The sequence below is a fragment of the Homo sapiens genome, chromosome 1 (assembly GCF_000001405.40).
Source record: "Homo sapiens chromosome 1, GRCh38.p14 Primary Assembly".
Taxonomy (NCBI): Eukaryota; Metazoa; Chordata; class Mammalia; order Primates; family Hominidae; genus Homo; species Homo sapiens.
Genome location: NC_000001.11, coordinates 143353486 through 143369684, shown reverse-complemented (window position 1 = coordinate 143369684; position 16199 = coordinate 143353486). Strand labels below are relative to the sequence as shown.

At 45.9% G+C, this 16199-nt stretch overlaps 1 pseudogene; it reads right to left on the bottom strand.

Moving 5' to 3' along the window:
• The window catches only part of LOC100996736 (proton channel OTOP1-like), a 33069-nt pseudogene extending 17605 nt beyond the window's left edge, over positions 1-15464 (bottom strand).
• Positions 15465-16199: the final 735 nt, after the last annotated feature.

The following is a 16199-nucleotide window of genomic DNA, read 5'->3' as shown; positions in this document are numbered from 1 at the left end:
CTATCTCCAAATACAGTCACATGCTCAGGTACTGAGAATGAGGGTTTTGGCATATGAATTTCACAGGGGATATGACTCAGTTCATAACAGCTTTCAAGTGCAAGGCAGCCCCTCCAAATGAGCCCCTCAGCAAGCTCCCCAGTGATCCCACCATGCCACCATGGAGCTAAACTGTTTCCAGGCTCACTGGGCACGTTCTGTCTGTTAGCTTCACTGTTTGAGAATGTGTTTGATCTAGAGAAACACTCTAAGGTCATCCAGTGCTGTCTGGTAAGTCAGCTGGGAGTACAAGCTGACGGTCACTTTGGATAAAAGATGAAGTTTTAAACATGTCATCCCTGGTTTTCTAGAGGTAGAAAACTTTCCAAAGAACCTTCTCAAACTGGAAATCCAAAAATATTTCCAGCAATGGCAGTATCACCAGAACAAGTTCATGGTCTTCCAGGGTGACTTGTCAGGAAGAAAATAATCATTGTGTCTCCGCAGTGACTTTGAGCAAGTCACTTGTCTTCTCTGAGCTCCAACTTCTTCGTTAGAAAAAAATGAGAGCAGAGCCTGCCATTTGCAACAACATGGGCAAATCTGGAGGACATTGTGCTCAGTGAAATGAGGCAGACACAGAAAGAAAAATACTGCATAATCTCACTTATATGTAGTATCTAGAAAAACGTTTTTAATCCAATGCATAAAAACAGATGGTAGAAGCTGGGCATGGTGATGTGGGCCTGTAGTCCTAGCTACTAGGGAGACTGAGGCGGGAGGATCACTTGAGCTGAATTCAAGGCTGCAGTAATCCGTGATGGCACCACTGCACTCTACCCTGGACAACAGAGCAAGACCCTGTCTCTAAAATTGAATTAAATTAATAAATAAAAACAAAATAACATAAAGAGTAGAATGGTAGTTGGAGGGGAAAAATTAGAAGATTTTGGTCAAAGGGTACAAAGTTGCAAATACGTAAGATGAATAATTCTAGAGATGTAATGGACAACGTGAAGACTGTAGTTAATACTATTGTATTGTATACTGGAAATTTGCTAAGAGAATAGATTTTAGGTGCTCTTACCACATCCAAAAAAAGAAAGGCAACTATGTGAGATGACAGACATAAATATGCTTGACTGTAGTAATCACTTCACTATGGATAGGAATATCAAATAATCATGTTGTATACCTTAAACATATACAACAAAAAACAAAAAAAAAATGAGACTGACAATTCAACAATTCAGATCCTGACTCTGATAACATTACCACGGATTTCTGCCAAGGGCGAACACTACCCTGAAAGCCCATCTAACATTCTTTTCAACCATGAGATTTTTCTGACCCTAAGCTATGTATTTAAATTATATTTATCAAATCCTTCCTTCTGAGCCATACCAAGTTTACCAATGCTGTGGGAAAAAATCCTTATACATTTCTAAGACTTTAATCCCCAAACGAGAAAACAAAAGCGCTTCCATGACCCAGAGGAGGCATTGCAATGGCACAAGGTTTCTATGTAGGAAGAATATTAAATTTTTTTAAAAAATAAAATTGATTTTGGCAATGGTTGCATAACTCTATGAACAGACTAAACCGTTGAATTCCACATGTTAAATGGGTGAATTATATGCCATGTGAATTCTCTCAATAAACCTGTTACATACCCAGAAAATAAAACTCCCTCAAGCTTTTACTGTAGACCCTGGCTTGGCAGAATTTCCTGACTCTTCATCATTAGAAGTTCTGCCTCATAGGATCCCTGCAAAAATGGCCATGGGGACACAGAGTTTTATTTTGCAATGGAGGCAGCTGAAGAATTAAGCCTCAAAGATAGACTTCAGTTCACCTCAGTTCATTGCAGTTCACAGCTGTGCACACTGTCTCCACTTGCCACATGTCTTGATGTTACAAGTTTCTACACAACCTGGGATACACTTCACAGGAATGAGACAACATGAATAAACATCAGTGGTTTACCTGCAACAAAGTATGCACTGAATGGGTGACAGGGAAAACTCCTTCAGTGGCTGATAAACATTCTGAAAATCCAATGAAGTATCTAATTTTAAGGCATCCCAGGATGATGGTAATGACTGCAAACAATGTGATACTACCTAAATGTGGGATAAAGGGGGAAGTGGAAACACACACATTCCATTAATATACATTGATGTCATTTCAAAATAAATTATATTACATATTAAACCCTTATGTATATGGTCAAATGATTTTTTCACAAGGGTGCTGAGACCATTCAATGGGAAAAGGGCAGTCTTTTCAACAAATGTGGGAAAACTGGATGTCCACATGCAAACGAATGAATTTGAACCCTCACCTTACAGCATATACAAAAATTAACTCAAAACAGATAAAAGATCTAAACATAAAAGTATAAACCTTGTAAAAGAAGACATGGGAGAAAGCTTCATGACATTGGCTTTGGCAATAATTTCTTGGCTAGGACACCAAAAATGCAAGCAACAAAAATTAAAATAAATAAGATGAACTACATGAAAATGAAAAATTTTTGCACATCACAGGATGCTACCAATGAAGTGGAAAGACAGCCCACAGAACCGGAGAAAACATTAGCAAATTATATACCTAATAAGTCATTAATATCCACAATATACAGATTTGTTTACATTAAATACCTCATATAATGAAATCGTACAGTACTGTCCTTTGGTGGTTGAGTTTATTTTACTTAGCATAATGTCCTTATGGCTCATCCATACTGTATCGTGTGTCAGAATTTCCTTCCTTTTTAAGCTGAATAATATTTTGTTGTATGTCTATACCTCACTGTGTTTATCCATCTATCTGTTGATGGATGCTGGGTCGCTTCCACCTTTTGGATACTGAAAATAATGCTGCTATGAGAGAATTTATAGAGAATTCTTATACATTGACAGCAATGGGCTGGGCACAGTGGCTCGCACCTGTAATCCCAGCACTTTGGGAGGCCGAGGAGGGTGAATAACTTGAGGTCAGAAGTTGGAGACCAGTCCGGCCAACGTGGTGAAACCTGTCTCTACTAATAATACAAAAATTAGCCTGGTATGGTGGTGCATGCCTATATTCCCAGCTACTTGGGATGCTGAGGCAGGAGAATCCCTTGAACCAGGGAGGCAGAGGTTGCAGTGAGCCGAGATCATGCCATGGCACTCCTGGGCAACAAGAGCGAAACTCTGTCTCCAAAAATCGATCAATCAACAATGACAAAAGCCAATTTAAAAATTGGCAAAGGACTTGAATAAACATATCTCCAAAGAAGACATAAAGATGGCCAGCAAGTACATGAAAAGATGTTCACCATCACTAATTATTAGAGAGATGCAAATCAAAACTACAAAATACTTTCACACTATCAGGATGGCTACTATCAAAAAAAAAAAAAAAAGAAAATAATAGAAAATAACCAGCATTGGTGAGGATATAGAGAAATAGTGCTCTGTTGGTAGGAATGTAAATTGGTACAGCTACTACTGAAAACAGTAGGGAGGGCCTTCAAAAAATTGAAAATACTATTATGGCATGATCTGGCATTTTCACTTCTGAGTATATACCCAAAAGAATTGAAAGCAGGGACCCGAGGGGATATCTGTATTCTCCTGTTCATAGCAGCATTATTTTCAGTATCCAAAAGGTGGAAGCAACCCAGCATCCATCAACAGATGGATGGATAAACACAATGAGGTATAGACATACAACAGAATATTATTCAGCTTAAAAAGGAAGGAAATTCTGACACACGATACAGTATGGATGAGCCATGAGGACATTATGCTAAGTAAAATAAACTCAACCACCAAAGTACAATACTGTAGGATTTCATTATATGAGGTATCAAACGTAAGCAAATTCATAGACAGAAATAGAATGGTGGTTGCCAGGTGCTAGAGGGAGGGAAGAATGAAGAGTTAGTGTTTAATGAGGACAGAGTTTCAGTTTTGCGAGATGAAAAAGTTCTGGAGGTTGGTTGCACAACAGTGCATATGTGCTTAACACCACTGAGCTGTGCACTTGAAAACTGCTAAGTTGGTAAATTTTATGTATATAAATGCATGTTTTACCATAATTAAAAATATATTAATAAAATAAATTCTAGCCCAGGCATGGTGGCTCATGCCTGTAATTCCAGCACTTTGGGAGGCCAAGGCGGGAGGATCACTTGAGGCCAAGAGCCTAAGCAACCCCATCTCTACCCAAAAATAACATAATAATTATTTCTAAATAAATAAACAAATTCTACTGTTGAGCTGCGAAGGTAAAACTAGAAGGCAGGTGTTGTGTCCCGTTCATCATTGTACCCACCCCATAGCCCAGAGTCTGACAAATGATACACAATCAACGAAGCCTGGTCCAGTCAACAGAATGCTCCCAGAAGCTTTTTCAAAAAGGAGAAATCTAAGAATGTCACTGCTCTACTCAAAAATCTCAGTTCTCTAATCCTAAAATCCTGTTCTCTAAAGAATAAGAGTGCAGCTGGCTGGGTGCAGTGGCTCACATCTGTAATCCCAGCACTTTGGAAGGCCGAGGTGGGTGGATCACCTGAGGTTGGGAGTTCGAGACCAGCCTGACCAACATGGAGAAACCCCATCTCTACTAAAAAATACAAAAGTAGCAGGTGTGGTGGTGCATGCCTGTAATCCTGCTACACCGGAGGCTGAGGCAGGAGAATCACTTGAACCCGGGAGGTGGAGGTTGCAGTGAGCCGAGATTGCATGATTGCATTCCAGCCAGGGCAACAAGAGTGAAACTCTGTCTCAAAATATATATATATTAATAAGAAATAATAAGAAATAAGAGTGCAGAGTGTGCAGGTCATACAGGTATACAGGAATTCTCTGAACTGTCTTTGCAACTTTTCCATAAATCTAAAGCTTTTCTAAAATGGAAAGTTTATTTATTTATTTATTTGAGACAGGGTCTTGTTCTGTCACCCAGGCTGGAGTGTAGTGGCACGATCTTGGCTCACTGCAACCTCCACCTCCCAGGTTCAAGTGATTCTTGTGCCTCAACCTCAATCCCAAGTACCTGGGATTACAGGTGTGCTGGCCAGGCTGGTCTTAAACTCCTGGCCTCAAGTGCTCCGCCTGTCTCAGCCTCCCAAAGTGCTGGGATTACAGGCATGAGTCACTGAGCCCGGCTGAAAGTATATTAGAAAAAAAAAAATAGATGGGTAAGGGCTCTATAGTAGTAGCTGAGGAAGGGCCTGTGCTAGGTGTACTGAGGAAAGGAAGCAATCTTTGATAGTATAATGAGCATGGCTTTGCCCAAAACATAAAGACAAACTAATAAAAAATTTGCATATAAAAAAGACTGGAAAGGAATGTACAAAATACATTAAAAAGACACTTGGTGACAAATGAAGAAATTAGTGAGAAAAAGGCAATGATCATGAGTGCTTGATCAAGTCAGAGTTCCTCATCTCCCTCCTGGGCTAGCAATGACTGCCATTTACACATTTGCTCCTGCCAACAGGAGGAAACTGGATCATGTATGACATGCATTAAGGCACTGAGCAGAGAGGAGGGCATGAGCCATAACATTGGGCTATAACGTTACAGCCCCAGCCTGAGAAGCCTCCTCTGAAAAGTAATGCAATCGCCTGGCACTTTTCCACTGCTCAAAGCCTTATAGAAACAACTCTAACTCACATTTTTAATCCTGGAAACACCCCAATGAAATCGGAAACGTTGTAAGAGTGGAGATTCAATCCCAGTGCTTTGAAATGTTTTGACAAATACGTGGTTGGTTTTAATTACAAAAAACATAGCAAGATCAGGTGAGGCAGCGTGGTTGAGTGGCAAGAGTACAGGCCTGAAAGTACGGAGACCTGGACACTCACAGAATACATGAGTCACTTCCTGCTCCCAACCTCAGGATTCCCATACAGAAAATGCGGATGGTCTACAGCAGTGGTTCTCAAACTGGAAACTGCATCAGAATCACCTGCAGGGCTTGTTAAAACACAAATTCCTGGGCTCCACCTCCAGAGTTTCTGATTTAGTAGGTCTGGGTGGTGCCCCAAAATTTTCATCTCTAACAAGTTTTCAAGTGGGGCTGCCACTGTTGATCTAGGCCCCGCTTTGAAAACTACTGGTCTAGACCATCTCTGTGGTTGACATGCCAAGTGTTCAATAATATACTCTTTCAGTCCTCCCTTTCTTCCTGTGTTCATCCATTCATCCATGGATTCATTCAGCCAGTTGTTTATACAACAAACACCTTGGGGACTCCTACTATGCATGAGACATTGTGCCAAGGGCTCAAAGACAGACATAGGAGATTGCTGTAGAAACAAAAATATACGAGTATAATATTGCATAAATTAGGGTGTGCACAAAATATCAGAGAGATGAGCTGGCAACAGACTTCCTCTGTGCAGCCTGGGAAACCAGAAGACAGTGGACATATGTGCCACAAGGAAAGGACTGCACCTCAAAAACCTTATTCTCAGCTAAGATGTCGCCCATGTGTCAGGGCAAAAGGCAGAATGATGTTTGAAGTATACAAAATGTAATTTTTTCAACAGCTATTTATTGAGCAGCAACCATGGGCCAGGCATTGTCCCAGGCACTGAAGATATAAAGGTCAATAAAATAGAGTATCTGCCCTTGAGGAGTTTCACATCTAGTGGGGAAGGCAAAAAATAAACCGGTAAATAGTAAACACATAAAGAATGTCAGGAAGTGCTAAGTGCATGAAGAAAAGTAAAGCAGAAAAGGGGACTGAGGTTGAAGGTACATGGGCAGGAAAGGAGGTGATTGTTGAACAGAGAACAGAGAAAACTGTCATCCACATAACTTGTCTGACAAAGGACTTTAACCAAGGAGCTTGTGAACTGGAAGAGAGTCCCCAAAAGAGGGGAAGATGAGGAGGAGAGCAAATTATAGTGACCAATCAACTCTGTGGAAGGCTAGAGGAGGGTGGAGGTATAATGGATGGAGAGACAGATGGAGATAGATAATTAGATTAATAGGAGAGAAAAGAAGAACTTAAATTCAAATGGATAAACTGCCTGAGATGTGTAATTTACATACCCTATAAAGACTTGTCATACAGAATAGACATTTTGAGGCGAAATTCTATTAACTATCTCTACAAAACCCATAAGTTCGGCCAAGCACAGTGGCTCACACCTGTAATCCCAGCGCTTTGGGAGGCCGAGGCAGATGGATCACCTTTGGTCAGGAGTTCGAGATGAGCCTGGCCAACATGCTGAAACCCCGTCTTTACTAAAAATACAAAAATTAGTCTGGCGTGGTGGCAAGCATCTGTAGTCCCAGCTACTTGGGAGGCTGGGGCAGGAGAATGGTGTGAACCCAAGAGGCAGAGGTTGCAGTCAACTGAGATTGCACCATTGCACTCCAGCATGGGTGACAGAGCGAGACTCCATCTGAAACAAAACAACACAAAACAAAACAAAACAACAACAACAACAAAAAAAAACCTAAGTTGGAAAAGGACTGGATAGGGAACAAAGAAAAACCTTTGAAAGCCCTCAAGGTAAATAAATGGAAAAGGAGAGGGAAGAAGGGAAAGGAATAGGGAGGCAAACGTATCCTAAAGATCTCATCCCATTAGGTAGAGAGGAAGTGGGAGCAGTGAACATCTTGGAGTGGGACACAGTGTGGCTTGCTGAGGGAAATGTTCAATATTTTGTTTTCAAATAAGAATGAAGTAATAGGCAGCTGGGCGCGGTGTCTCACACCTATAATCCCAGCACTTTGGGAGGCCAAGATGGGCGGAACACTTAAGGTCAGGAGTTCAAGACCAGTCAGACCATGATGGTGAAACCCTGTCTCTACCAAAAACACAAGAAATTAGCCCAGTGTGGTGATGGGCACCTGTAGTCCCAGCTACTTAGGAGGCTGAGGCAGGAGAATCGCTTGAACCTGGGAGGCGGAGGTTGCAGTGAGCCGAGATCATGCCACTGCGCTCCAGCCTGGGCAACAAAGTGAGACTCCGGCTCAAAAAAAAAGAATGAAGTAATATGCATCAGATTATGAGAGTGAGGGAAGAAAAAAATGGCCATGAATGGAATAAAAAATCAGAATAAATTTTCAAATGCTCAAAAAAGACAAATGTGGAAGAGGAAAAGGAAGAAATAGGAATGTAAAATATATCATCATAAACATCGAAAAGAAAAATGGAAACAAAAAAGTCAACTACATAAATTATTTCTATAAATTAGAATGATCTAAATCCTCCCACTAAGTAGTCAGCAAGAATAGGAAAATTGAATTAAAAACAAAACCTAGTTACATGATCTTTACACAAATTGCACCTTTAACAAAGTAATAAAGGTTTAAAATAAAGTAGTGGACAAAGAGGAATCAGGCAATGCAAACAAAAAGAAAGTTGGAATGGCAATATTAATATCAGACCATACGGGATTTAATGTATTAAGTAGGATAAAGAATCCTTCCTCTTTTATCACTACATATAATAAAAGACAGACTGTCCAGTGTGGTGGCTCACGCCTGTAATCCCAGCACTTTGGGAGGCCGAGGTGGGCGAATCACAAGGTCAGGAGATCGAGACCATCCTGGCTAACATGATGAAAACCTGTCTCTACCAAAAATACAAAAAATTAGCCGGGCGTGGTGGGGGGTGCCTGTAGTCCCAGCTACTTGGTAGGCTGAAGCAGGAGAATGGCATGAATCCAGGAGGCAGAGCTCGCAGTGAGCCAAGATCGCGCCACTGCACTCCAGCCTGGGCGACAGAGCGAGACTCTGTCCCAAAAAAAAAACAAAAAACAAAAAACACAACGACTGTATGAGGAAGCTATAACAGCCACACATGTGCCCAAATGAAACAGATTTTGATTTATATAAACACATATATATGTATAAATATATATATACAAGTATATATATACACATATACATAGATAAATATATATACACATATACATATATATTTATGCATGTATAAATATATATACATATATAATTTCACAATTACTTAACTTACCTTTGCCTCAGTTTCCCCATCTCTAAGATGTAATGACAGTAATAACACTTATCTCATAGGGGTGCTGAGGAGATTAAGTGAGTCTTTACATGGAAGTCACCTAGAACAGTGTTCCTTACCTAGAAAGTTCTATAAGCGGGATGTTATTATCATCACTCAATCGCCAAGAAAATGTTGATGCATTAGAACCAATTAGAAAGTTTACCAGCTACAATACTTGAGAATAATCCAAAGACTACATAGGGTACCCATCTAGTGATGGCAGAGGGAACCCCCTCCTCTTTGTTAGGCACCCAAATCCCTCCTAGGAGTCTAGAATCTTGAACCCCCCTCTTAGAGGCGGAAAGTCCCACAGAGTTAGTCTGCATTCTATCCCATGCAAGAATGCTTTCCAATGCATCATGACCGGAAGCCATCTGATCTCTACTTGGACAAGCCCAGGGCTGGGAGGCTCAACATCTCTCAAAGCGCACCCTTCCATCACCAGCTGGTACTTACTTTGTGTTTTATTTTTATTTTATTTTAATTTATTTTATTTTATTTTATTGAGATGGAGTCTCACTCTGTTGTTCAGGCTGGAGTGCAGTGGCATGATCTTGGCTCACTGCAAACTCTGCCTCCTGGTTTCAAGCAATTCTCCTGCCTCAGCCTCCCGAGTAGCTGGGATTACAGGCACTCCACATAGCGAGACCCCTGTCTCTACAAAAATCAATTTTTAAAAAATGAGCCAGGCGTGGTAGCACACACCTGTAGTCCCAGCTATTTGGGAGGCTGAGGCGGGAGGAGCACTTGAGCCCCAGAGTTCGAGGCTGTAGTGAGCTATTATCACACCACTTCATTCCAGCCTGGGAGACATAGGGAGACCCTGTCCTTATTAAAAGATAAAAATAAAATAAAGAAAGAAAGAAGATTGTGCAGATGTTGCCTCCTCCCTGAACCTCGCAGCCTTCCTGCAGACTTGGGCTCCTCCCAGGCCCCTGGTGGTAGCCCTGCTCAAGGGTGCTGTGCTGCTTACTCTGTCCCCACCCCCAAGCTCCTAGAAGTTGAGGGCTAAGTCTCACAGGTCACGCTCCCCAACTTCCCAGTGAGGGCTCATTAGCTGTTTGTTTATTGCTGTTTCTCTACCTGAACATCAGCTCCACCTGAGCAGAGCCTTTCATAGCTGAAACCCCAGCACCTAGAACAGAGATCAGCAAATGATTCATAATTTGCTGTGTCCCACCATGCCCAGCTTTTTGTATTTTTAGTGGAGACGGGGTTTCACCATGTTGGCCAGGCTGGTCTCAAACTCCTGACCTCAGGTGATCTGCCCACCTCAGCCTCCCAAAGTGCTGGGATTACAGGCGTGAGCCACCACGCATGGCCTGGTGCTTACTTCAGAATGTTTTTCTTTATATTGAAGTGCAGTTGACTTCCCAGAACTATCATCTTCTTCCCTGGAGCTTCTATCATCATTCACTTATTCATCCACCCATCTAGTCATCCATCCATCCACCCAATCATTCAATCATCCAATTATTCAGTAGCTAGGAATTGGCATTTACTACATGTTAGGCACTGTGCCAGGAGCTCGGGATACAATGGTAAGCACATTCAGACAGGGTCTCTGCCTTTAGGGGCTCAGTCTGGCTACCCCAACAGTCACTGAATAATACAATATCCTGCTTGATTAGTGCTAGAAAGAAAATGAAGAGTGCTATGAGACCATACAACATGGGGGCTTCCCCTGGTCTGAAACTATCGGGAGAGGCTTCCCAGAGGAAATGACTCTTACTTGCTGAAAGACAGAGGATGGCCTGGAGCTGACAGGTGCAAGGCAGCAGCACTTTCTACCCTGTGACCTCCGCATCCTTCTCTCTTCTGGACTGAACCTCCTTTTGCTCCTCCTGCCGCCACTCTTTCCAAGGGCCTGTGAAATGCTCAAGGAGGATGAGACCCTCCACACACAGTCTGATTTCCTTTCCAATGAAAGCCAAGCCTGCATCTGATTTTTTGGCAGCCACATTCGCTCGTTTGTGTTGAAATCGTGACACTATGTCTATATTTTCCATTGGACCAGAAATATCATCTAAGAAAAGAAATAAGTAAGAAAATGCATGCAGTTAAGCAAGACCCTCATAGTGGCCCCAGAATGGATCTTGAGGATCACTGGTCTTTTTCCTGAGGGACTTGCCCTCTGCCTATTGATCTAAGATTGTCACCAACACCAGGGCAGAGCTGAGTTCCCGGGTCAAACCTGTCTTTCCAGCTAGAATTCCAGAGGAAACCCCAGTCCCTGTTGGGCCTGAAGGTGCTTCCTTTTGGCGTCGGGGCCTCTCGACACTAATAATTAGCGTCTTGCTTCTTTGAGGAACCCACAGGAATGGCCAGGGCTTTGCAAACTGCTTCTCTCAACATCCCCCAGCTCCTCCCAGAGAGTCGACTGGGATTCTTATCTTACTGATGAGGAAAGCAGAACTCAGAAAGGTGAAGGTGACAGAGCTGAGACCTCAAGCCAAGCCCTCCAGAGCCAACACCATTTCCATGATACACACACCTCACTTGAATTACATTATTATGGGACAACTCACTGAATGTCTAAAGAGCTACCACCTACTGAACACCTATCACGTGCTCTCTCTACCTTGCCCATTTATTCCCTCTCTACTTAGTGTCCCAAAGACACCTCAAATGTAGCATGTCCATAAGAGAACTGTAACATGTCATTGGTTTTGTGTCCCCACCCTGCTCTTCCCTTTGGCTTCCCAATCTTGGGAAATGGTGCAACCATTCACCCATAGACTCAGGCGCCAATGCTCGGAGTCAACCTGAAAGGAGGCAGAGAGAGAGGAAGAACAAAAAAACACAGATGGATGGATGGACAGATGGATGGATGGATGGAAGGATAGATGGATGGATGGATGATGAATAAGTGTGGATGGGTGGATGGATGCATGGTGGATAAATAAGTGAATGATGATAGAAGCTCCAGGGAAGAGGATGATGGTTCTGGGAAGTTAACTGCACTTCAATATAAAGAAGAGCATTCCTTGGATAAGGATAGACTGAGTAGAAAAAAGAAGAAAGAGGAAGAAGAAGAAGAAGAAGAAGAAGAAGAAGAAGAAGAAGAAGGAGGAGGAGGGGGAAGGGGAGGGTGGGAAGGGGGAAGGGAGGGGGAGGGAGAGGGGGAGAAGGAGAGGAGAAGGAGAAGGAGGCACATTCTAAATGCACCAGGCTGGGCGTGGTGTCTCATGCCTGTAATCCCAGCACTTTGGGAGGCAAAGGCAGGCAGATAACCTGAGCTCAGGAGTTTGAGACCAACTGGGCCAACATGGTGAAACACTGTCTCTACTAAAAAATACAAAAATTAGCCAGGTGTGGTGGCATGTGCACCTGTAGTCCCAGCTAATCAGGAGGCTGAGGCAGGAGAATCACTTGAACCCAGGAAATGGAGGTTGCAGTGACCCATGATCTAGCCACTGCACTCCAGCCTTGGCAACAGAGTGAGATTCCATCTCAAAAACAAAAACAAAAACAGCAGAGGAGAGAGGAAGAGAGGAAGGAAGAGAAAGAGAGGAGAGAGGGAAGAGGGATAGTGGAGGGAAGGCTAGAGGAAGGAAGAGAGGAAGGAAGAATGAAGGAGGAGAAGAGAGAAAGAAAATGAGGAAAAAAATAAGGAAAGGGAGGCTGGGCATGGTGACTCACACTGGTAATCCCATCACTTTGGGAGGCTGAGGCAGGCAGATCACGAGGTCAGGAGTTCGAGACCAGCCTGGCCAACATGATGAAACCCCGTCTCTACTAAAAATACAAAAAATAGCTGGGCATGGTTGCAAGCGCCTATAATCCCAGCTACTTGGGAGGCTGAGTCAGGAGAATCGTTTGAACCCGGGAGGCGGAGGTTGCAGTGAGCCGAGATCGCACCATTGCACTCCAGCCTGGGTGACAGGGCAAGACTCCATCGCAAAAAAAAGATAAAAAGGAAGAAAAGGGAGAGAAAAGGGAAGGGGAGGGAATAGGGAGGGAGGGAAGAGGAAGAAAGGAAAGGAGAAAGAGAGAAGGAAGAAGGGAGAAAAAAGGATGGAGGAGAAAAAGAAGTGAGGAACAAAAAAGGGGGCTTTGACTGTAGGAAAACACAGGTAAAGGCTCATGTGTATAATACTTTTTAGCCTGTGTAAGTCAATATCCTAAAATAACACTTTGTGCCTTGTTTTAAATAGCACCAGATTCACTGTCATTCATAGAGTCACAAAACCATTAACTTCCCTAAAACAACCAATTTCAGAACAGGAATTTGGGCCACCCTGCAATGGTGTCAAATTTCCCCAAAAGCAAGATGAACTAGATCCAGTCCCTGAGCCTAAGAAGTCTAAAATCTCTTCTGGATGATAAGGCTAATATTCAACAGTCATAATACAAGGCAGAAACAGACAAGGACCAAAAGAGCTTTACAGAAGGAGGGCCATGGTGGCCCATGGAAGTGAGGAGTAATTCCTGCCAGGCATTTGTGAAGAAGGTGGCATCTGGCCAGGACCTTTGAAAGAAGTGCAGAAAGGAGGCCTAGTGTGTGCTGGGCAGCCACCTCATCAATCACTGGATCCTATCCAGTGTGAGATCCCCATTCTACAGATGCCGACACCAGGGTTCAGAGTAAGGAAGGCAATCAAGCAACTTGCCCGAGGTCATACATGCAAGGAACACGGAAGCCCCACTCTAATGGAGATTTAAATTCAGGTCTAATATGAGAATCCAAGTGGCAATGTGTGATGTGTCTGGACCACGTGGTGTGAAATGCAGTCGGCTTCTCCTGGGAAGGTTACTCAGACAGAAGCTTTCTTCACAAGCATGCTCCCCACGGCCTCCTCCCTTTCACCTGCACCATGTCTGTCTCCCATTCAAGACTGGCAACCCCAGCCAGGCACAGTGGCTCATGCCTGTGATCCTATCATTTTGGGAGGCCAAGGCAGGAGGATCCCTTGAGGCCAGGAGTTTGAGAACAGGAGACAACACAACGAGGCTCTATCTGTACAAAATATAACAAAACTTAGCCAGGCAAGGCCATGTGTACCTATAGTTCCAGCTATTCAGGAGGCTGAAGTGGGAGGATTGCTTGAGACCAGGAGGAAGAGGCTGTAGTGAGCTGTGACTGTGCCACTGCACTCCAGCCTGGGAGATAGAGCAACATTGTCTCAAAAAAAAAAAAAAAAAAAAAAAAAAAAAAAAAAAAGATGTGGCAGCCCCTTGAGAAAGGAAGAGCTCCTATCTTGACGATTTCAGCCAATGCCCGTGAGTACCAGCAGGAGCCTCTATCCCTCTCTGCCCCACCCTGCATCCACGCATTCATTACATCATTCATCCCCCCTCATTTTCTCAACACCCACTTGTGCCAGGCCCTGAGGTGGCTCTAGGACCGAGAGACAGGGATCACAGAGCTCCCCAGTGGAGTGGAGGGTACAGACATGTCGACAAGAACACTGGAACCCAGTGCGGGCTGGGAGCGTGTGGTCAGACCTGCAAAGCGGGGAAGAGAAGGGGGTCGGAGAAGCTTCGCGGGGAGAATGGGGTGAGGCCTGAGGCCTGTCTCGGAAAGCAGAGGGGCAGGTGGGAGAGTGGAAAAGACATTCCTGGAGGAGGGAACCAAAGGTGCTGAATGTGCAGAGGCAGAGATCCTGTGACAGGAGAGAAAGTCCTCGAGAATGACCCCAGCATAGGATGAGAACAAAGAAGGGGATCAAAGGAAACGGGCCCTCGGTGGCCGGGTGCTAGAAGGCTCTGAGTGTCAGGAGAGGGAGCGTGACCTCCCTCATGGGGTCAGTAGGGCCACTGTATGGCTTTAAGCCAGGGAAGGACAGGAGAGGTTTCTGTAACTGTGGCTGTAATGATGGAAGCGTCTGGAGGCGGAGAGGAGGCTCCTGCGACGACCCAGGCTTCAGAGAGAGAGAGAGAGAGGAAAGAAGGAAGGGCAGATAGGAAAGCTAGGAAAGATGCACAGAGAGACCAAGGCAGAAAAGGCTGAAGGGAAGACGGCAGTGGTAGGAAGGGGGCAGAGCCGTCTCAGGATGCAGCCAGCGGGCGAGGAGGCAGAGACCCGCTTGCCCGGTGCCTGGACTCACCAGCCGGTGCAGCCAGCCGGCGCCGGCGTGCGTGTCCTTGAGGCGGAAGAGGCGGCGGTTCGCGGAGCTGCGGCCCACGTACCACAGCATCTGCAGCAGCATGAGCGCCGTCAGGAAGCACAGCAGGTCGCTCTTGCTCACGCCCGCGGCGTGCACGGCCCAGGCCAGCAGCAGCAGCAGCCCCGCCACGAACACGATCAGCCCATACTGGCTGCTCAGCATCTCGGCCAGCCTCTGTGGGACGCTGGCGCGCACACCGCCCCTCCGGGGGGCCGGGGACTCCGGGCACCTCGGGGCCGACGGCGAGGGAGGCGGGCAGGCCGCGGGCCCCGATGACCTCGCGACTGAGGCGCTCGCAGCTGCCCGGGGCCAGGCGGGCGACCCCAGGCCCTCAAGCATCTTCAAGACACCCGCGCCAAGTCTGGCCCCGGGGGTGGCTGCCGTCGGGCCCCGCCTGCGCTCCTGGCTCCTGTCCTTGCCCCGACGCCTCTGCAACCAGCACCCCCCTTTTCAACTCCCCTCCGATTCCTACCCCACGCCCCCGACAACCTGCCCCGTCTCCTGTCACTTCCCGACGCCCGCCCTCCCCTCTTCTGCCCCTTCGTCCTCAGTCAAGGTACCACCCTGTCCACTTACCCAGCGCCCCACCCCGCTGACCCGGGATTCTACGAGCTCCCTTGCCCACTGCCCCTCACTGGGCAACGCCCGGGGCAGCCATCTGTCCCCTCCGGGACCCACGCGGACCGCTCCCGGCTCCTGATCCCTGGGACACTGGCCAGCCCTGCCCCGACACTAGCGCGTCCTCCCGCACCTCCGCCCGCGCGCCCGGCCCCCGCCCACCGTCTGCAGCCCTCACTCCTGCGCCGACGCCCACCCACCCAGCCCCTGTCCCGGCGCCTCAGAAACGCTGGGTGACGAGAGATGCCTCCCAGAGTCCCGGGGTTGCGGGGCTGGGGAGAGGGGGTCTTCCAGAGCCAGCCCGAAGTGGGGTGTGCGCGGGGGGCGTGGCTGCTGCCAAGTGGGGCGCACGGGGCTCCACAGGGGCGTGCTATGCTCCGGGCCTTCCCCGAGGGTCTCCGTTGGGGAACCCAGAGGTCCAGGTGATCCTGCCTGGGTCCGTGTCCGAGCGTCCGA